The sequence below is a fragment of the Homo sapiens genome, chromosome 15 (genome assembly GCF_000001405.40).
Source record: "Homo sapiens chromosome 15, GRCh38.p14 Primary Assembly".
NCBI lineage: Eukaryota > Metazoa > Chordata > Mammalia > Primates > Hominidae > Homo > Homo sapiens.
In genome coordinates, this window is record NC_000015.10 from 29,577,864 (window position 1) to 29,601,382 (window position 23,519).

At 41.2% G+C, this 23,519-nt stretch overlaps 1 protein-coding gene across 3 annotated transcripts in view; it reads right to left on the bottom strand.

Moving 5' to 3' along the window:
- The window catches only part of ENTREP2 (endosomal transmembrane epsin interactor 2), a 557,698-nt gene that overhangs the window by 460,152 nt on the left and 74,027 nt on the right, over positions 1–23,519 (bottom strand). The window lies entirely within an intron of this gene.

Here is a 23,519-nt window from a genome sequence, read left to right on the forward strand (position 1 = left end):
AAGTACCTAGAGTAGTCAAATTCATAATGACAGAAAGCAGGGTGGTAGTTGCTAGGGGCAGAGGGGTGGTGGGAATGGGGAGTTAGTGTTTGGTGGGTACAGTTTCAATTGCAGAAGATGAAGAGTTCCTGGAGATGGTTGGTGGTGCTACTTGCACAACTATGGGAATGTGCTTAATGCCACAGAATTGCACACTTAAATTTGTTAAAATGGTAAATTTTATATTATGTATATTTTACCACAATAAGAAAAAAACAATGAAATTCTCAAATCCACGAGGATGGCTATAATAAAAAAAATGAAAATAACAAGTGTTGGAGAGGATGTGGAGAAATTGAAACACTTGTAGGTTGCTGGAATGAACGTAAAATGCTGCAGCCAACGTGGAAAACAGTCTGGCTGTTCCTCAAAAATAAACGTAGTATTTCCACATGACCCAGTAGTTCCACTCCTAGGTATATACCCAAAGGAAGTGAAAGCAGTGACTGGAAAAGATATGTGTGCACCAGTGTCCTGGAGCATGTTTGTTCAGGTGATTATCATTGGAGGGCTGGAAGCAAGCTGGACTCCCTGGACACTGATGGAGAATCAGGCACATATAGAATTTTGACTTGTCTTTGTTCGTTAGGTTTAAAATGTCTGTCTCATTGCTACCAAAATAATTAAAGGTCAACTAAGTGCAGGGAGAGAAGAAATCTAATTTGACAGGCCTTGAAATACTTATTACTTCATAGGTTTTGTGATGAGATTTAAGTTAGATCATGAATACAGAAAAGTATTTTTTCAAACATTACGCACTTTATGAATGCTGGCCTTATTCCGTTAGCAGTAAGTTCCTTACGGACAGGAATCATTCACGTTTGCAGTATCCTAATGCACTTAGCACAGTCCTAGCAGATAGTGGTATTCAATTACTATTTATTCAAGCTAATTCTGTATCTTAAACTATGTTAAAATTGAAGTTTTTAACACTTCTGGGATAGTATTGACTAGAATTTTGTGAAAAACCCCTGAGAAGTAAATGACTTAATTATTGAAGGAGGGTAATAAGGCTAAGAAGTGAGTTCCAGTTAACTCAACTAGCACTATTAAATCAGGTTATTAGAAACCTATGCATTCTAATGGTTTCATTAGAATAAGCAGTTATTCATATGCTCAGACTCAAACAAACTTATACATGAAAGAGGTGTTTTGCCTTTAGGGAAAAACTATGAAAATTATGAGTCAAGCCTCATGAGATTTGATAATTCTCATCCATCAACTGAACAGAAAATAATGGAGTAAAATTTATCATTTGGCTCTAAAGTATGGGTCACCTTCAATCAGAACTCCTTCACTTTTATTTTATTAAGAAGCAAAAGTAAAACACTTTGCTTGTGGATAAATGGAAAGTTGCTTAGAGAAATAAGCATTAGGATGCACTCATTTTTGGTGTCGATTATGTGATTGGCCCACATTTTTATAGCAACAGCAAGAGCAGCAGCAGCAAATTGCTGAGACGTAATTCTTATGGCATATGTTGGCTTTTTTCATGCAAGCAAGCTATATGTTCAGTGGTAACCTGGACCATTCAGCAAAATCCATTTCTCTCTTCACTCTCTCCAACATGTTTCTCTAATCCTCTGCTCCAGCAAAATACTGGCCTTTGGTTTCTTTCTTTTTTTTTTTTTTTTTGAGATGGAGTCTCGCTCTGTCCCTCAGGCTGGAGTGCAGTGGCGCGATCTCAGCTCACTGCCATCTCCACCTCCTGGATTCAAGTGATTCTCCTGCCTCAGCCTCCAGAGTAGCTGGGACTACACGCACCTGCCACCACACCCAGCTAATTTTTTTTTTTTTTTTTTTTTTTTTTTTTTTTTTTTTTTTTTGAGACGGAGTCTCACTCTGTCGCCCAGGCTGGAGTGCAGTGGCGCGATCTCGGCTCACTGCAAGGTCCACGTTCCGGGTTCACGCCATTCTCCTGCCTCAGCCTCCCGAGTAGCTGGGCCTACAGATGTCCGCCACCACACCTGGCTAATTTTTTGTATTTTTAGTACAGACAGAGTTTCACCGTGTTAGCCAGGATGGTCTCAATCTCCTGACCTCAAGATCCACCTGTCTCGGCCTCCCAAAGTGCTGGGATTACAGGTGTGAGCCACCGCGCCCGGCCAATTTTTTCTATTTTTAGGAGAGACAGGGTTTTTCCATGTTGCCAAGGCTGGTCTCTAAACTCCTGAGCTCAGGCAGTCGGCCCATCTCAGCCTCCCAAAATGCGGGGATTAAAGGCATGAGTCACCACGCCTAGCCTGGCCTTTGGTTTCTAAGCTTCTGGACAGTAATGGGTCACTCCTGCTGAGAATGACTTTCTTCATCACCTTTGCAAATTCTATCCCTCTCTTAGGTCTTCTCTCACATCTAAAAGTCAGGGCAGCAGAATGGTTAGGGCACCCATGTTAGTGTCACACTGCCTTAGTAAAAACCCCAACTCCACTTCCTAATGAAGGTAATAATAATACCTATCTTATAAATTTCTTGTGAGGATTAAATGATTTCATTTATCTAGAGTTCTTAGAGCAGTACCTGGCATATAGCAAACACTAAGTGCCAGTTATTTTTCTATTATTGTGTCAGTACTTCTATTTGAACATATTCCCGTTAGGTCTAGCTTTCCCTGGCCTATAGCGGCAGAACAGATTATGCTGGAAAAGACCAAAGGGAAAGTTAGGCCTACAGGGTCTGCATCCAGAAGATGAAGTTATATTAGAACCTCAAATGCAAGACTGAACCAAAATAGGAGGAAAGGTGAGATCTAACACCATTGGTAGACTAAGAGCAGAATACAGATATTCAGCAAAGGTGGCTTGGTACCTGGCACCCATCTTCTAAGTCAGCATAAGGCAAAGAGGTTAGGCTGTTTCCTCAAATATGGTATAATAACTGAGAAGAGACTTCACAATGGGTATTTATTTGAATTTCCCACAGTGTACAGAATAACACCTTATTAGAATAAAAGCTATAGTAAATATTTGTATATTGATGTCTTAAAATTAAGAAAGTATTTAAAATGCTCCCCCTTTTAAGCCATCTATTCTATAAATATCTATTGAGTGAAATAATATACAAGACATTACCCTAAGCCATGTAAAGATCAGTAAGACCTCGCACCAGACCTCATATTTCTTATGGGCTAATTACTACCTATAATTCAATAGTCATTATTGTAATGACTTTATTAGTTTTAGTCTTCTAATTATATCATTATTTCAATATCTTTAGAATAAACAGACCAAGTAATGAAATTTCAGAAATGATTTAGTGATGTAAGTGTGGGATCTAAACAAAAACAACTTTCTAGGAGGTTTCAGATTTGATTATAATCATCTCCTAACATGGAAAGGATGTAGAAATCCTTTTTCTACTCTTTTCTTGTAGGGATTAAGTATCGTTGATTCTTAAGAAGGATATTGAAAAAAGGCAATAAGAAATACAATAACATCCCTATAGACAGTGAGAGCATACCAGAAAGACATAACCACAAAATAGATCAACTGATTAGATGAGTGAGGGCCACCCACATTATGGAGGGGAATCTACTTCACTTAAATTCCACTGGGTTAAATTTCCATCTCATCCATAAACACCTTCACAGAAATACCCAAAATAATATTTGGCCAAATATCTGGGTACTGTGGCCCAGCAAAGTTGACACAAAATTAATCACCACAATGATGAAATTTTTAAAAAACTCCTAAACAAATGGAGAGGCATAGTGTATTCATGAATTGCAAGAGTCAACATAGTAAAGATGTAAATTCTCCCCAAATTTCCTGATAGGTTTACTGCAATTCCTATCAAAATCCCAGCAAGTTGGTTTTTTTTTTAAAAGACATATGTACATTTATTTTTAAATGTATGCAAAAAGGCACAGGCTCTAGAATAGCTAAAATAATCCGGGAAAAGAATTAAGTGGGAGTAATTACTTGATATTAAGGCTTACTACAGAGATAGAGTAATCAATATATTGTGGTGTTGGCAGAAGGATAGACACACAGTTCAATGTAACTGAATAGAGAACCCAGAAATAGATCCCCAAAATATGCTGGTTTTTTTTTTTTTTTTTTAGATAGAGGCTTGCTCTGTTGCCCAAGCTGGAGTGCAGTGGCATGGTCTCAGCTCACTGCAACCTCTGCCTCCCAGGTTCAAGAGATTCTCATGCTTCAGCCTCCCAAGTAGCTGGGATTATAGGCGTGCACCACCATGCCCGGCTAATTTTTTTGTATTTTTAGTAGAGATGGGTTTCACCATCTTGGCCAGGCTGGCTAATTGATTTCTGACAAAGGTGCAAAAGCAATTCAATACAGGAAGAAAATAACTGTTTCAACAAATGGTATTGGAGCAAATGGACATCTGTAAGCAAAAACAAATAAATAACAACTTCTATTTAAACCTCACACTTTATACAACAATGTATTCAAAATGAATCATGGACGGACTTACATGTAAAACAGAAATGAAAGGAAAAAAGAATTTCAGAAATAAAGACTAAACAAAAAGCAGTACAAGAGTGAATAAACACAATAAATAAAAACCTGAGGAGCAATAAAAAGCAAAAAGGAGGAAAATTTTTAAGATCATAAAGAAATTAAAAAGATAAAAAAGATTTTAGATAGTGGCATATTTGAAGAGTGTTAAAGAAGATCCAACATGTGGCTGAAAGGAGTTTCTGAAAAGGGAAACCAAAGCAAGGGAACAAAACAAATATTAAGAACTGTCTCTCAAGAAAATAATCCTGAATTTATTTTATTTTATTTTATTTTATTATTTTTTTTTGAGATGAAGTCTCACTGTGTTGCTCAGCCTGGAGTGCAGTGGCACAATCTTGGCTCACTGCAACCTCTGCCTCCCAGGTTCAAGCGATTCTCCTGCCTCAGCCTCCTGAGTAGCTGGGATTACAGGCAGGCGCCACCACGCCTGGCTGATTTTTGTATTTTTAGTAGAGATGGGGTTTCTCCATGTTGGTCAGGCTGGTCTCGAACTCCTGACCTCATGACCCGCCCCATTGGCCTCCCAAAGTGCTGGGATTACAGGCATGAGCCACCGTGCCCAGCCCTGAATTTTTAAAAAGATTTGAAATTGCACATTAAAGGAGGATACTCTGTACCAGACAATATCAAACCAGAATGATCATGACCAAAATATATTGGAATAAAATTTCTGAGCTCTAAAGAAAAAGAAGATATTTTGGGGGATCACGGCAAAAAGACCAGGTGACTTAAAAGGGAAATAAAATATTGGACAATAATTCATTATGCCAGAAAAATGACATGAAAGCATTTTAAGGAAAATCAAGTAAAGAAAATATTACTCAAAGATTTTATATCCAGTAAAACTAAATTTCAAGTAGAAAGGACACAGATAGACTGAATAAAGAAAATGTGGTACATATACACCAGGGAATACTATGCAGCCATAAAAAGGAACAAGATCATGTTCTTTGCAGCGACATGGATGAAGCTGGAAGCCATTATCCTCAGCAAACTAATGCAAGAACAGAAAACCAAACATGCATGTTCTTACTTACGAGTGGGAGCTGAACAATGAGAACACATGGACACAGGGAGGGCACAACACTTACTGGGGCATGTCAGGGGAGAGCAATGAGGGGGAGAGCATTAGAGAAAAGAGCTAATACATGCTGGGCTTAATACCTAGGTGATGGGTTGATAGGTGCAGCAAACCACCATGGCACACATTTACCTATGTAACAAACCTGCACATCCTACACATGTACCCTGGAACTTAAAAACTAATAATAATAATTTTTTTAAAAAGTAAGGATGCAGATAAACTATCATCAATGTGCAAAAATTCAAGGAATCTTGTTCCCCATAATCCCTTTCTGAAGAATTGTGTTAATGTGCTTCAAACAACCAAAATAACTAGACAGACATTGACCTAAGTATAGATGGTGAGCACTGATATATTGCTCCTTTTAGAACTGAAAGTAAATGAGGGCCCTTTCCTCACACCATATACAACAATTAACTCAAAATCCATGAAAGGCCTAATGTAAGAACTAAAACTGTGAAACTCTTTGAAGAAAATATAGGTGTACATGTACTTGACCCTGGATTGGAAGTGGTTTCTTAGCTATGAAACCTAAATCACAAGCAACCAAAGAAAAAAATAGATAAATTGGACTTCATCAAAATTAAAACTTTTTTCAAAAGACACTATCAAGAAAATGAAAAGACAATGCACAGATAGGGAGAAAATGTTTGCAAATCATGTATCGCTTAAGGGTCTAATATCAGAAAATAAATGTATATATTTATCCTACAAATACAGTAAACATGTATTTGTAAACTGTTGCAGCTCAACAGTAAGGAAATAAACAACCCAATTAAAAAGTGGGCAAAAGATCTGAAGTGATGTTTCTCCAACAAAGGAAAGAAATGGCCGCTGAAGAAAACAAAATCTATATCTTGAAGAGATATCTGCACTTCATCTTCATTGCAGCATTATTCACAATAGTCAAGTTATGGAATCAACCTAATCATCCATTGATGGATGAAGGAATTTTTTAAATGTATGTGTGTGTGCATGTGTGTGTGTGTGTGTGTATGAAATGGAATATTATTCAGCCATAAAAAAGAAGGAAGTCCTGTCATTTGCAACAACATATATGAACACAGAAGACATTATGCTAAATGAAATAAACCAGGCAGAGAAGGACAAACAGTGTATGATCTCACTTACATGTGGAATCTAAAAAAGTTAAACTCACAGAAACAGAGTAGAATAGTGGCTGCCAGGGACTTTGGGGTGGGGGAAATGGGGAGATGTTGGTCAAAGGGCAAAAACTTTCACTTATAAGATGAGTAAGCTCTGAGAATCTAATGTACAGCATGCTGATTATTGTTAATAACACTGTATTTTGTATTTGAAATTTGCTAAGACAGATCTTCAGTGTTCACATACACAAAGAATGGTAATTATGTGAGATGATGGATGTATTAATTTACTTAATCATGGAAACAATTTCATAATGTATATGTATATCAAGTCATCACATTTCATATCTTAAATATATACAATTTTGTCAATTATACTTCAATAAAGCTGGAAAAATATAAACAGTAAACTCAAAGATCGATGGATAGATAGATAGATAGATAGATAGATAGATAGATGATGGATAGAATGATTTAGTTGTTTCTCCATTCATTGTAAAGTTAAAGATGAATACAAATTATGTTGCATTCCTCTTATATACACCTAATTACATCAGAGAGCTAATATGTACCTCAGAAAAATACATGAAAATGAGTGCTTTATAAGACAACAAGGATTGAAGCTAACTGGGAAATCCTTATATACTTTTATACCCCTATATACACTTAAACAGGAGTTTCAACATCATTCCTAATTTTTCAGAGAAGCACATCCATTTTCAAAATTATTGATTCACTGAAATTTATCTCTGATCATTTTCAAATCATATTGAATTGCGTGAAACCCTCGAAAAAAAGAAATAGCCAATAAGCACATGCAGAGATGCCCAACATCATCAGTCATTAGGGAAATGCAAATCAAAACCATGGTGAGACACCTCTTCACACACACATGAAAAGATGATCATAATCAAAACTATGGACGAGAGAAAGTGTGGGTGAGGATATGGAGAAAGTGGAGCCTTTATACAGCCAGTGGAACATAAAACGGCACAACCACAGGCCGGGCGCGGTGGCTCACGCCTGTAATTCCAGAACTTTGGGAGGCCGAGGCCGGCAGATCACGAGGTCAGGAGATCGAGACCATCCTGGCTAATACGGGGAAACCCCGTCTCTACTAAAAATACAAAAAATTAGCCGGGCGCGGTGGCGGGCGCCTGTAATCCCAGCTACTCGGGAGGCTGAGGCAGGAGAATGGCGTGAACCCAGAAGGCGGAACTTGCAGTGAGCCAAGATCCCGCCATTGCACTCCAGCCTGGGCAACAGAGTGAGACTCTGTCTCAAAAAAAAAAAAAAAAAAAAAAAATGGCACAACCACTTTGGAAAACAGTCTGGCAATTTCTCAACATGTTAAACTTTGATTTACCATATGACTCAGCAATTCCAGTCATAGGTATATACCCAAGAGAACTGAAAATGTATTTTCGCACAAAAACTAATATACAAATATTGACAGCACTATGATTCATAATAGCCAAAAATGGTAACAACCTATATATCCCTCAACAGATGAATGAACAGACAAAATGTGGTATATCCCAACTAGACAGTATTTTCAGCCACAGAAAGTAATTAACTATTGATACATGCTATAACACAGATGAATTTTGAAAATATTATGCTAAGTGAAAAAAGCCAGTCACAAAAGGCCACGATTCTATTGGTATGAAATGCCCAGAAGAGGCAAATCCACAGAGAGAAGGAAAATAGATTAATGGCTGTCAGGGCTGGAAGGAGGAGGAATGGGAATCTCTACTAATGGGTAGAGGTTTCTTTTTGAGGTGACAAAAAAGTTCTAAAATTGGATAGTGGTGATGGTTGCAGAACTCTGTGACTATACTAAAAAACAATGAATTGCGTACACTTTAAAAGAGTGAATTTTATGGTATGTGAATTATATTTCGTAAAGGTGTTATTTTTCTAAAAGACCAATGGAGGGTTAAAAAGAAAGTATAGGCTGGCCACAGAGGCTGACACCTGTAATCCCAGCACTTTGGGAGGCCAAGGTGGGCGGATCCCTTTAGGTCAGGAGAATTAGCTGGGCGTGGTGGTGCACACCCAGCTACTCAGGAGGCTGAGACACGAGAATCACTTGAACCCGGGACGGGGAGGTTGCAATGAGCCAAGATTGCACCACTGCACTCCAGCCTGGGCAACAGAGCAAGATACTGTCTCAAAAAAATAAAAAAGAAGAAAAGAAAAAAGAAAGAAAGTATAGTATGCTCTGATTATATGCTCTGACAATATAGATGTAATTTGGCTATTTTTAAAAACGAGTTGAATGGGGAAAACATATGTAAAACTGGGAACTACTTGCAGTAATCAATTGATTCTGGTAGTATTAGTATTAGCATGGGGAGATACTTAGCATAATACAAGATTAAGCAAATGAGGTATTATGGGATATTCTATCATCCCTTGTGTTCTTGAAAACCAAATTCTCGAGGTAGAGGAAAGGAGTTGGAGACATACCCAGGCTAGGTTACATACAGAACTCTGTAGTCCTGAATTTGAACTAGAAATGGGAATATGAGTTCATGAGATAGGCTATCTGTGTAGCTAACCGTGTGTGTGTGTGTGTGTGTGTGTGTGTGTGTGTGTGTGTGTGTGTGTGTGTTTCGTAGCTCTGTCCACTGAAAAAATCTAGAAACAATGACCAACCCAGTAGCAATGAACATCCCAAGGGCCCCAACTATGGTCCTGAAATATTACACCATTTCTCAATAAGAGAAATGGCTGAGCTGAAGTTTGGGATCATACAGGACTGCAAAAGAGCTGTGAAAGACTGTTATACTAGAGCGATGACAAAAGGGTTCAGGAGCCCACTTTAGATGTTCTTATTTGCTAAAGATTAAAACAATTTTTTTCTGAGTGCCAATAAGAATACTCATTGTAAGGCATTCAAACCTACCAAATATGTTTAAATTCAGAAGTTTATAATCATATGTTTTAAAACTCACTGGTTGCCCTCAGAGGATGATAGGAAAACAACTCATTATCTTAAAACCTGGCAAATTAGAAAACAATTATCTTGCCTTCCTATATGAAGTGTATCATTGGGAAACCAGTTAGTAGATGAGAGGAAGTGTCTTTTTTTATTTTTTGAGAGACAGTCTCGCTCTGTCACCCAGGCTGGAGAGCAGTGGTATGATCTCAGCTCACTGCAACCTCTGCCGCCTGGTTCAAGCAATCTGCTGGCCTCAGTCTCCCGAGTAGCTGGGACTACAGGCATGCACCACCATGCCTGGTTAATTTTTGTATTTTTAGTAGAAACGGGGTTTCACCATGTTGGCCAGGCTGGTCTCAAATTCTTAATCTCAAGTGATCTGCCTGCCTCAGCTTCCTAAAGTGCTGGAATTACAGGTGTGAGCCACCACGCCCGGCTGGAAGTGTCTTTTTGTAATAATACTGCAAACAATAATTGAAAAAGATATTGAATTAAAATGTCATCATTTTGCAAATCACAATTAGTTAAAAGATACAGGCACTGAGCATCGACAGCGGCTAACATTGAAAAAAGACATGAACTGAAACAAGACATGAAGGCCTCCTGATGAAAGAACAAGCCATTTATATCCTGCAATGGGGATCAAGCCAGACTCCAATTCAGTCCAGTTCCAGGTACCAATTTTCAGGAAACTCAGAAGACAGAGTAATCATGTTGAACTGCACCAAGAGGGTACACTTGGCAAACTCCAGACTCCAAATGTCCTCGGCACTTCAGCCTGTAAATTGCAGGGAAAAGAAAGGGATAGAGGGTGGCGGGCGCCTGTAATCCCAGCTACCCAGGAGGCTGAGGCAGGAGAATCGCTTGAACCTGGGAGGCCGGGGTTGTAGTGAGCAGATATTGTGCCACTGTATTCCAGCCTGGGCAGCAGAGCAAGACTCTGTATCAAAAAGAAAAGAAAGAGAGATCAAGAGAGAGAGAGAGAGAGGGAGGGAGGGAGGAAGGAAGGAAGGAAGAGAAAGAAAGAGAGAGAGAGAGAGAGAGAGAAGGAGAAGGGAGGGAGGGAGGGAGGAAGGAAGGAAGGAAAGAAAAGACAGAAAGACAGAAGGAAGGAAGGAAGGAGAAAGAGGAAACCTGTACATTAAAAGAGACTTGATGACATAGTACAAATTTTTAATGGACAAGACTAAACTATAGGCCGGGGCTGTGACTCATGTCTGTAATCCTAGCACTTTGGGAGGCTGAGGCAGGCAGATCACTTGAGCTTAGAGTTCTGGGCAACATAATGAAACCCTGTCTCTACAAAAAATACAAAAAAATTAGCCTGGCATGGTGGGACGCACCTGTAGTCCCAGCTACTCAGGAGGATGAAGTGAGAGGATCACTTGAGCCCTGGGAAGTTGCGGCTGCCATGACCCATGATTGTGCCGCTGCACTCCAGCCTGGGTGACAGAGCGAGACCTTGTCTCAGAAAAAAAAAAAAAGAAAAAAGAAAAAAAAGGCTAAACTACAGTGTCTAGGGATAGCTACTTGAGTGATAAAACCATACAGAAATGAAAGGAAGTGATTACTATAAATCAGAGAGTGACTACTTTGAAAGAGAAGGAAGAGGATTGTCATTGGGGCCAGGCACGTGGAGGAGATTCTGGGGCAGCTGGCAAAGTTTAATTTCTTGACCAGAGAGGGTGATTACAAGCCCACTCACCTCACAATAACTTATCCAGCTCCACACTTGATTTGGGTGGATTTCTGTGTCTGTTTTGTCTTTCCATAAAAAGGTTTTTAAAATCTCTACCAGAGCATGTTTGTTTACAATTTCAGATTAAAACCTCGCCTTCTTGGCTCGTCCAAGTTCCATATGACCTTCCTGCACCATGACTTTTGTTCTGTATTTGAGAGCAAGTTTTTAAACAACTCAATTTTGTGTCTGACATCAATGAACAAAGATGTAGATGCTGTTCTGGAATCTGCCTCTGCGTGTCTTCATTCGTCACGGAGAAGGGGCTGCATATCATCTTCCAGATGGTGCTTGACAAGCACACTCTTTATAGAATGAAAGGAAACTGTGGCCATGAACACCGCATTCAGCTTTCCCTCCGCTACCTCTGCAGCCTTTTAGATGCTAACATAGACTGCCTGCCCCGCTGCGGATTTACAGCTATTCGGATGTCAACTCTATTCCTTCCAGACTTTGTCTGCGTCAGATTAGTCAAGGCAGGCAGCTGTGATACAGACAGTAGGAAAAACAGTAGGCTTGGAATCAAGACACCTGGCCTCCACTGGCAACTCCTTCCAGCTCTGTAACCTGGGACAGGCTGCTCAATATTCCTGCATCCGTTTCCTCATCCGGAAGGTGGGGATTATACACGGGATTGTTGTGAGGGAGGTGATGCGTGAAAAAGCAACTTGTGAACTTTGAAATGCACTCTCACCATTCAGAGGTCTTCAGCATCCTCACACAGCTCACTCCCAGTGAATTTCTTTCTCTATGTCATTACCCACAGTAATGGGTCACATTATCATGCTGCCCTATCCAACACAAAAAATGATCAGAAGATCTTATTGTCCTTTGAATGCCCTTGCAGCTGGGCCACTGAGGTTTGAAGAGATATGGTGTTGGAATGGGAAGAAGGCCTCAGGGGGTCTCAGAGCCATCTGGTTCCCTGAGTGTTCTCTTGTGTCCCTTCTGAGGTGCCTGGGGTTCCATGGCCAGGTTCAGCGACCACCTTAGGGTCAGGAAGTAGATATCGGCCACTCTGACCCTCATGCCTGCCTCTTCAGAGGAGCTCTGCCTTATCCAATCCACATCCTGGCGCATTTGTAAGTAAGAGTTCACGTCACAGGTTCTGAAAACAACAGCAGCAACAAGTATGAGTTCAAGGCCAGGCGCGGTGGCTCACGCCTGTAATCCTAGCACTTTGCGAGGCCGAGGTGGGCAGATCACCTGAGGTCAGGAGTTCGAGACCAGCCTGACCAACATGGAGAAACCCCGTCTCTACTAAAAATACAAAAAATTAGCCAGGCGTGGTGGCAGGCACCTGTAGTCCCAGCTACTCAGGAGGCTGAGGCAGGAGAATTGCTTGAACCCAGGAAGCAGAGGTTGCAGTGAGCAGAGATGGCGCCACTGTACTCCAGCCTGGGCGACAGAGCAAGACTCCGTCTCAAAAAAAAAAAAAAAAAAAAAGAAAAAGAAAAAAAAATACACTTGAAGGGGAGAAGGAGGGAAGGAAGGGAAATTTTACATGATTGATATAATGGTATGTTTAAAGACACAACACAAAAGGTTTTTAAGGGAGCCAAATATTCATAAACACACTGATAAGAAGCCTGTGCTTTATAAATGTTCTAACATAACTTCCTGTTAATATGCAAATAATGCCCCAGGGGATCTATAATGTGATTCTCTTCAGAAGTTTAACAAACTGCTGTGTAAACTAGTAGCTATTAATACTTTCTGCATTCATCTTACACATTAATTAAACCTTCAAACATTGCTGTCAGTTGTTCTTTTGCCAATCTTCTGTCAAACATTATTAAATACAATTTCTCATTTCTTTCTATCTAAAAACATCCTTTTTTTCCTGAAATATTTAAAAAAACACTGTAATGTACCAAAAGATTTGAGAAAACTTGTCTCTTCTGGGAGATGCTGTGGCAAATCAATTCCTTCTAAATAATTAATTTTCTTGAGATCAATGCCTAATTAGTTTTGCATTTTCTTTTAAAGAACTCACTCAATTTTAGAAGATTATTGTTAAGGGAAAACTTATTTCCCGTCTTCATGCCCTGGAAGGGGCAGTATCAGAACACACAGCTCGGGCTTCTCGACTCCTCACTTGCTTCTTCCCCAAAAGGAGTGACTTATTTCATGGATAAGCAGACCCCATATGTAGGGCAGTGACCCCCATCCTACCTGCTACCTGTTATGGGTTGAATTATGTCTCCTAAAAGGTACGTTGAAATCCAAATCTCCAGTAACTGTGAATGTGTCTTTATTTTGAAATAGGATCTTTGCAGATAGAATCAGGTTAAAATGAGGTCACTACAGTGAGCCCTAATCCAAAATGACTGGTATCCTCATAAAAAGAGAAGGCTGGGTGCGGTGGTTCACACCTGCAATCCCAGCACTTTGAGAGGGAGACCCCATCTCTGCAAAAAATAAAAAAATACAGCCAGGCATGGTGGTGCACACCTGTAGTCCCAGCTACTCAGGAGGCTGAGGTGGGAGGATCATTTGAAACCCAGGAATTCAAGCATCGATCACACCATTGCACTCCAGCCTAGGTGACAGAGTGAGACCCCATCTCAAAAGAGAAGAAGAAGAAGAAGAAGAAGAAGAAGAAGAAGAAGAAGAAGAAGAAGAAGAAGAAGAAGAAGAGAGAAAACACAGATGTTTCTACAAACCAAGTGTGTATCTTCAAGCCAAGCAATGCCAAGGATGGCTGGCAAACACAGAAACTAGAAGAGGAAGGAAGGATTCTCCCCAACAAATTTCAGAGAAAGCGTGGCCCTCCTGACACCTTGATCTTGGACTTCTAGCTTCCACAACTGTGAAGTGACAAATTTCTGTTGTTAAACCACCCAGTTTGGGGTACTTTGTTACGGCTGCCTTCACAGATGGATACACCATCCTTGCTCTCTCTGCCCCCTGGTTCTGCTGGCACCCAGGCATGGCAAGGGCTTCCTCAAGCCAGGTCTGATCTTTCCAACCCATCTCTCATCTGTGCCAAAATCAGGCAAGTCATGCTCATGAAATTCCTATAGGTCTAGGTTCAGGGAAGGAGACAAGGGGCCTGTCTTTGTTTTGTGTTGCTATAACAGAATACCTGAAACTGAATAACTTATAAAGAAACGTATTGGCTCATGGCTCTGGAAGCTGGGAAGTCCAAGACTGAGGGGCTGACATCTGATGAGGGCCTTCTTACCATGTCATCCTATGGTGGATGATGAGAGAGTGAGAGAAAGCAAGAAGGCCAAATTCAAGCTCACTCCCATGATAAAGTTAATCCATTTGCGGGGGGCGGAGCCCTCAGGGCCTAATTCCCTCTTAAAGTTCCCACCTGTTAACACTGTTGCACTGGGGATTCTGTTTACAACACATGCTTCTTGGGGGTGCTATAGTTTGGATGTTTCACCTCTTCAAACCTCACATTGAAATTTGATCCTCAGTGTTGAAGCTGGGTTCTCACGGGAGGTGTTTGGGTTGTGAGGATGGATCCCTCATGAATAGATTAATGCTGTCCCTGGTGGGGGTGGGGAAGAAGTGAGTGAATTCTCACTCTACTTTGTTGCTGCAAAAGCTGGATGTTCAAAAGAATGGGCATCTCCCTTCTCTCTTGCTTCCTCTCTTGTTATGTGATCTCTGCAATCTCTGCACACAGCAGCTCCCCTTCACCTTACACCATGAGTGGAAGCTCCCTGAGGCCCTTACCAGAAGCAGATGCTGGCACCATGCTTCTTGTAACAGCCTGCAGAACCATGAGCCGAATAATAAACCTCTTTTCTTTAGAAATTCCCCAGCCTCAGATATTCATTACAGCAACACAAATAGACTAAGACAGAGGGACACATTTGAACCATAGCAAATCTCTCTGCAGTCCAGATCTGTTACTTACTAGCACTGCTCTAGAACTTTCCTTCCGTTTGTTCCTTGTGTCTATGTTTCTACAACTATGTCATATAACTATATGTATAGTTACAGCCTGCCGTTTAGCTATAACGTACTCTCCCACTGTGTCACTTGGCTCACCTCCTGTGCCAGTTAACAAGCTAATGTCAGGGCAAAATCCACTCTTCTATTCTCTGCTCTTTGTGGCTGGTATGCCCTCATTCATTCCTGATAGCTTCTCCACTCAAGCCTGCATCACCCTGAGTAACTTCAACATCCCCGTGACAACTCCCCCACCAGTGACAGCCTCTTGACTCCTCCTCTGTATGTCCCAGTCCACTCCATCTCAGCTGCCCCCTCCCATAGGCATACCTAGGATTTTGTCTTCACCAGAAGCTGTTCTCCTCCAAAATAGCAAATCCACAAACAGCCCATGCCCTGTCCATGGCTTCCAGCTTGCTCACTCAGCAATGTTCACCCTTTGACTATCATTTCTTCCCTTGGCTGATATTCTTATATTTGTCCTTGCCTCCTCCAATCTACTTTATGCATCAAAAACAGAGAATGCTTTTCACATTGCGTCAGGTCACTCTGTGCATGTCAATTATCAATATAATGTATATAGAAGGGGCACAGACTGATGGTTGCCAGGGAATCATAATAATGGCTGTTATGGAAGGGTGTGGTGAGTGTGGCTTGCAGTGATGTAACAGTATCTTGATTGTGGTGGTTACATAAATCTGCAAATGTGGCAGAATTGCATAGAACTATATACACACAAGTAAGTACTATGAAACTGCTGAAATCTCAATAAGCTCTATGGATTGTATCAATGTTAATGTCTCAGTTTTGATATTGTACTATAGTTATACAAGATGTTATGGTGGGGGAAACTGGATGAAGGGTACAGAGGACCTTCCTGCACATTTTTTTTGCAACTTCTAGTGAATCTATAATCGTTTTCCAAAAAGGTTTAAAAAAAAAGGAAATAAAAATTTCTTCCTGACCTTCTGCTAGGTGGTGAGGATGCAGCTATGAGCGCAACAGGCTGTATCTCTAGACTCATATGACTGAAACAGATAGGGAGGATAAGTTGTGGTTCTCATCACTCTTGGGACAAGCCAGGATCCTGAATAAGGTCTATTAGTTCCCCTAATGGGCCCTGCCAATCCTGGCAGCCTCACCTCCCGCTGTTCTTCAGTAACCACCTTGGCTTTTACAAGTTTCCTAGCGTGTAGGAGCTTCCTCCCCGACATGCCTCCCAACTCTCACCTGGGAGCAGCCTCCCCTGTGCTCCTAACCTGGTCAGGTCCCTGTACAGGCTCTGCCAGCTCCTTGAACCTCTTCTCCAGAGGTGCAATAGATCTAATCTCCCCTATTAAACTATAAGAATCGATGTTTTCGTTGCTCATGATTAAATCCTCAGCAATGTACACGGTGGCCAGAACATAGGAGTCACTCATGAATTTTTTGAATGAGTGAATGACTGAAAGGGCTTTAAGCAGAGGATAATGCAATCTGATTTGCTTTTTAAAAAATAAACTTTTGTGGGGGCTGGGCACAGTAGCTCACGCCTGTAATCCCAGCACTTTGGGAGGCCAAGGTGGGCAAATCACTTGAGGTCAGGAATTCGAGACAAGCATGACCAATGAGGTGAAGCCCCCTCTCTACTAAAAATTTAAAAATTAGTCACTTTGGGAGGCCGAGGCGGGCGGATCACGAGGTCAGGAGATCGAGATCATCCTGGCTAACACGGTGAAACCCCGTCTCTACTAAAAATACAAAAATCATTAGCCGGGCGTGGTGGCAGGCACGTGTAGCCCCAGCTACTGGGGAGGCTGAGGCAGGAGAATGGCGTGAACCCAGGAGGCGGAGCTTGGAGTGAGCCGAGATCACGCCACTGCACTCCAGACTGGGCGACAGAGTCAGACTCCGTCTCAAAAAAAAAAAAAAAAAAAAAAAAAAAAAATTTAAAATTAGCCAGGTGTGATGGCACACACCTGTAAACCCAGCGGGGAGGGAACTGAGGCAGGAGAATCTCTTGAACCTGGGAGGCGGAGGTTGCAGTGAGCTGAGTTCGCGCCACTACGCTCCAGCCTGGGCGGCAGAGTGAAACTCCGTCTCAAAAATAAAATAAAATAAAATAAAATAAGCTTTTGTGTTTTAGGGTAGCTATAGAATTACAGAATAATTACTGAAGTAGCATAGAGCTCCCAAATGTTCCATACCCATTTTCCCCTATTATTATTAACATCTTACCTTAATCTGGTAGATTTGTCACAATCAATGAAACAATACTGACACATTATTATTCACTGGAGTCCATACTTTGTCCAGAATTCCTGTTTTTCTCCCTAATGTTCTTTTTGGGATCCCATCCAGAACACACGTCCACAGTATAATTAGTTGTCGCGTCTCCTACAGCTCCTCGTGGTGTGTCAGCTTCTCAGGCATTCCTTATCTAAAGTCTTATCTATGCTTCACCTTCTTAAGAGCAGCTACACAGATTGAAGTTCTTCTGCTCGGGTTTGTCTCTTCTTCACTGTGTCTTTACTTATTTACTGGACTGTTTATTTATATAAATTAATCTATCCTTCATTCACCTACTGAAGGACATTTTGGACATATATTTATTTATATAAATATGGTCTCATGGATATTTATGTTTTGGGTTATAGCCTCCTTTTTTTGGTGTTCAAATTGTTCTAGCTTTGGACTTTGGGGGCTCTTTCAGTTGGCCTATGTGTCCCTTTAACATAACCCTTTCTTTATGGGAATTTATTTTGTGAGCACTTCGTTATTTTCTGGCACTAAAAGATGCTCCCGGCTTATCCTGTATATTTCCAACCTGAGTCCTAGGTTCAGCCTTTCTCAAAAAAGCCCTGGTTCCTTCCACTGAAAATGGTATTAGAAACCAAGCTCTGAGCAGTAGGTATGCTCATTGCTACTGGGGAGTCATTGCTTCATTGCTTGTAGGCCTGCTCAGTTGGCAGAAGAGCAAAATATATTAGGTTTGTGCAAAAGTAATTGCGGTTTTGCTGTTACTTTTAATGTAACTGTCTGTATCTATAATTCTATATGTAACCATTTATAGATATACCTCTGCATATATATAATGCTGTGTGTAACCATCTGCATCTATATTGAGAAGCATGAGTTCCTACTGAATGCTTCACCTCTAATCCATTACCACATAGATCCTTCCAGACTCCTCTCTTTATCTGGAATCTCCCATGCCTGCAGTGAGGAGCCTAGCTTCCATTATTTGCTTACTTTAGTTAATTCTTTAATCCCAGTATACGTGTACGGTGGTTTCAGAATTGTTAGCTCATATCCCTAGGGGGCACAACTTTATCAGCTAGAATAGAGTGTGTATGTAGAGTTCCTGTGCCTTTAGTCATTCATTTCCAAAGATACCTAAGCCAGCACTTTATTCCTCATCTCCTTCAACAACATTGTTCCATACATTTGTGGTACATTTAGATCCTTTTGTCGCATTCTGCCTCTCATTCTGGGTTCCCCAACATCCTAATTATTTTTATTTTTTTATTTTTTTTTAGACAGATTCTTGCTCTGTTATTCAGGCTGGAGTGCAGTGGTATGATCTCAGCTCACTGCAACCTCTGTTTCCTGGGTTCAAGCCATTCTCCCTGCCTCAGCTTCCCGAGTAGCTGGGATTACAGGCGCCCGCTGCCATGCCCAGCTAATTTTTGTATTTTTTAGTAGAGACAGGCTTTCGCCATGCTAACTAGGCTGGTCTTGAACTCCTGAACTCAAATGATCCTCTCATCTCAGCCTCCCAAAGTGCTGGGATTACAGATGTGAGCCACCGCACTCGGCTCCTAATTTTTTTTAAATTTACCTGATTAGGGTTTGCTCTCTGCACTGTAAAGTTCATAGAAATCCCCCATAGGGTTTTGCCAAATCCTTGTATATGCCATTATAGTATCACTCATACAAAAAAAAAAAAAAATCCCTGTGCTTCACCTATTCAATCATCCCCCCAACTTCTAACCTCTTGGCAAACACTGATCTGTTTATTGTCTCTGTCGCTTGCTTTTTCCAGAATGTCATATAGTTGGACTCATACAGTATATTGCTTTTTCAGACTAGTTTATTTCATTTAGCAATATGCATTTAAGATTCATCCATAACTAGAGTCAGGCGCGGTGGCTCATGCCTGTAATCCCAGCACTTTGGGAGGCTGAGGCAGGTGGATCAGCTGAGGTCAGGAGTTCGAGACCAGCCTGGCCAACATGGAGAAACCCCATCTCTACTAAAAATACAAAATTAGCCAGGCCTGGTAGTGAACGCCTGTAATCCCAGCTACTCAGGAGGCTGAGGCAGGAGAATCGCTTGAACCCGGGAGGCGGAGGTTGCTGTGAGCCGAGATTGCGCCATTGCACTCTAGCCTGGGCAACAAGAGCGAAACTCTGTCTCAAAAAAAAAAAAAAGATTCATCCATAACTTTGTTGGGCTTGATAGCTCAGTTCTAGTTGCTGAATAATATTCTATTGTGTGAATGTACCATAGTTTGTTCATCCATTCACCTATTGAAGGATATATTGGTTGCTTCTAATTTTGGACCATTATGAATAGAGCTGCTATAAACATTGGCATGCTGGTTTATGTAGGGACATACGCTTCCAAATCAGTTCAGTTTCAAATCACCTGAGTGTGATTGTTGACTCTGATAGTAAGACTATGTTTAGGCTGGGCACAGTGGCTCATGTCTGTAATCCCAGCATTTTGGGAGGCCGAGGAGTGTGGATTGCTTGAGCCCAGGAGTTCAAGACCAGCCTGGGCAACATGATGAAACCCTGTGTTTCCAAAATATACAAAGATTAGCCAGGCCTCATGGCATGCACCGTGTAGTCCCAGATACTAAGGAGGCTGAGGATGGGGGATCTCTTGAGCCTGGGAGGCAGAGGTTGCAGTGAGGTAAGATCACACCACGCACTCTAGCCGGGGCAACAGAGTGAGACCCCTGTCTCAAAAAAAAAAGAAAAAGACTAGGTTTAGTTTTGTAAGAAAGCGCAAATTCTCTTCCAAAGTGGCTGTACCATTTTTGCATTCCCACCAATAAATGAACATTCCTGTTGCTCCACATCCCCTCCAGCAGTTGGTATTGTTGGTTTTTGGATGTCCGCCATTCTAGTAGATGTGTGGGGGTATGTCATTATTGTGGTGATTTGCAATTCTCTAGTAACAAATTATGTTTAACTACAGATTAAGTATTCTAAAATCATCATTTTGGGCCAATGCCCATTATTTAACTGGCTTAACAGTAATAATAATATTGATTCAGAAATTTTATTTAGTCAGTTATTTAAGAGAACATTTTGCAGCTAGTTTTGCTTGAGGTGTTCATCAGGTCATGACATGGTTTAAAGCTATTTCATCATTGCACTGATGAGATATTTTATCATTGCACTGGTAAGATATTTTATCACTAAGATTATATCTGTTTTAAAATTTTCAAACTAAAACTACTAAATGTATGGTAACAAATTTTGAGGCTTCCATTCATCCATTGTTGAAGTGACCTAAAATCTTTTTTTTCTTTCTTTCTTTTTTTCTTTTTTTGAGACGGAGTCTCGCTTTGTCGCCCAGGCTGGAGTGCAGTGGCGTGATCTTGGCTCACTGCAAGCTTCACCTCTCAGGTTCACGCTGTTCTCCTGCCTCAGCCTCCGGAGTAGCTGGGACTACAGGCGCCCGCCACCGCGCCCAGCTAATTTTTTGTATTTTTAGTAGAGACGGGGTTTCACCGTGTTAGCCAGGATGGTCTCGGTCTCCTGACCTCGTGATCCGCCCGCCTCGGCCTCCCAAAGTGCTGGGATTACAGGCATGAGCCACGGCGCCTGGCCAAAGTGACCTAAAATCTTGACCCAGTCCAAGGGTACTTCCTCATCCCATCTCCATGCAGGGAATGTTCATCCTTTTAGAACATGTTGATAGCAAGTCCATCATTTTTAAGAGGATTTTTAAACCATATTCTCAGCTCTACTGGATGTTAAATCATGTGACTATGAACTTAATAGGCAACGTGCATCACAGGACATGTCAGGGAAGATAGGTTCAAATGTATTGCTGCTGAGCATGCACAGAAAGCTTAAGTAAGAGAAATAATAATGATGCAGGATTACTTGAAGGCTGTATTGACCATCTATTCATTTAGACTAATAAGGATGGAGATAGATTCAAATTGATCACAATGGTGATGCTCTAAAGAGACAGACCATGAGGTTCTGCTTCCCAGTTCCCTAGAACTCCCTTGGTCCAGGACCTTCTGAGGGCTGGTGGTTGAGGTTTTCATTTGATTCTCACAGTTGATAGAGCAAACTTTAAGAAGCTGATATAGAGGAGAAAAAGGATCAAGTTAGGCATCAGGTTCCTGGGTCCACTACCTAACACCAGTGCTTCCTTGGACAAGTTACTTAAGCTCCATAAGCCTATTTCCTCATGTGGAAACTGGTCATAACAATCGCATTATAATCCCTACTTTGTCCAAATTAGATGAACACTGTGTGTAAGACAGCACCATTGTCTTACAAAGCAGTTACAAACTGGCAGCCAGATCAGGCACAGGGGCAGGCCATTTACCCTGCAAGATGATATATGTTTTAAAAGTTTGAGTCAACTTTTTCAAGTTCAAAAACTTCATATTAAGCCAAGATTTATGGCTTCCTTTAAAAACTTTAATGGATCTCACAATACAGTCCCTACATTTCCAAGAGCCGAGCAGCAGCCCTGCCCTTTAGGCAAAGCACCAGCTCTCCAGGTGCCTCAGCTCCCTACCTTCCTAGCTGTCTCTATGTTTTTTTTATTAAAACCACAAATAAACTGTAAAGCCATAAAATAAGTGATTAATATTATTGCTGGAGATAACTTACGGAAGGCTTCTTAACACCTGAGAGGCGATGTTTCACTCAGAGTAAAGGTGAGGGTAGCCTCTATACGGCTGGTGACAGAAGGTGCCCATGGCACAATTCAGTTTGTTGAGCCAAATTTTCTGTGCTTCATTCCACAGTCTTTGTAATCTGAGCATGCATGGCTTGAGAAACACTTTTTAGGCACACACTTTGATATAAAACAATTTGTCAAAAAAAAAAGATGCTGGAAATTCCAGAGTCAAGTAGTCTGCCTTACTGACATCATTCATGGCAATAATATTATATGGGCTGCTATGAGCATCTGCTCAATATTATATGGGCTGCTAGGGGCATCTGCCCACTTTCCTAGAATGCCACTTTTCTTTCACTGGGTCTATCCAAATTGGAAACTCCAAAGCCCATCCCAGTTCTCTCCCACCATCATCATCATCATCATCATCATCATCATCAATCATCATCATCGTCATCTCATCATCATAGATGTGATGATGATGATCTCTCTCTCCCTTGACCTCTTAGGGAAATTACTATCTATAAAAATTAACTGGCAATGAGTCACATGTTGCTTTGAAACCTGTTCTATCATATCATGATGTCTTATTGTATGACCTATAATTTATTTGATTCTTTTGTAGGGACAGGGTCTTGCTATATTGCCGGGGCCAGTCTCAAACTCCTGGCCTCAAGTGATCCTCCCACCTCAGCCTTTCAAGTAGCTGAGACTACAGGCATGAGCCACCACACCCAGCTTATGACTTAATTATTCATATACAGGTAGTATTCACTTTGCATGGTACTGTGGAACTGTAAAAATCACCATGCAATCTGAAACCACGCAAAGAAATATTAATAATCAATGGGGAAAATATGATTTTTCTTTCTTTTTTTTTTTTTGAGACAGAGTCTCGCTCTTTTGCCCAGGCTGGAGTGCAGTGGCGCGATCTCTGCTCACTGCAAGCTCCGCCTCCCGGGTTCACGCCATTCTCCTGCCTCAGCCTCCCAAGTAGCTGGGATTACAGGTGCCCGCCACCACGCCCGGCTAATTTTTTGTATTTTCAGTAGAGACGGGGTTTCACCGTGTTAGCCAGGATGGTCTCGATCTCCTGACCTCGTGATCCGCCTGCCTCGGCCTCCCAAAGTGCTGGGATTACAGGCGTGAGCCACCGCGCCCGGCCTGATTTTTCAATGATACGTTCTAATGCTTGTAAAAACATTAAAATCTCTCTTACTGGCAGTTATAAACAATAGGAAAATGAAAAGGAACAGTAAAACTGATATTTGATTATGCCTTGGTGAATTGGCATACTCCTTTCTAAGTTTGCATCACTTCCAACATTTTCCCCTTTGTGCTTTCAATGTCA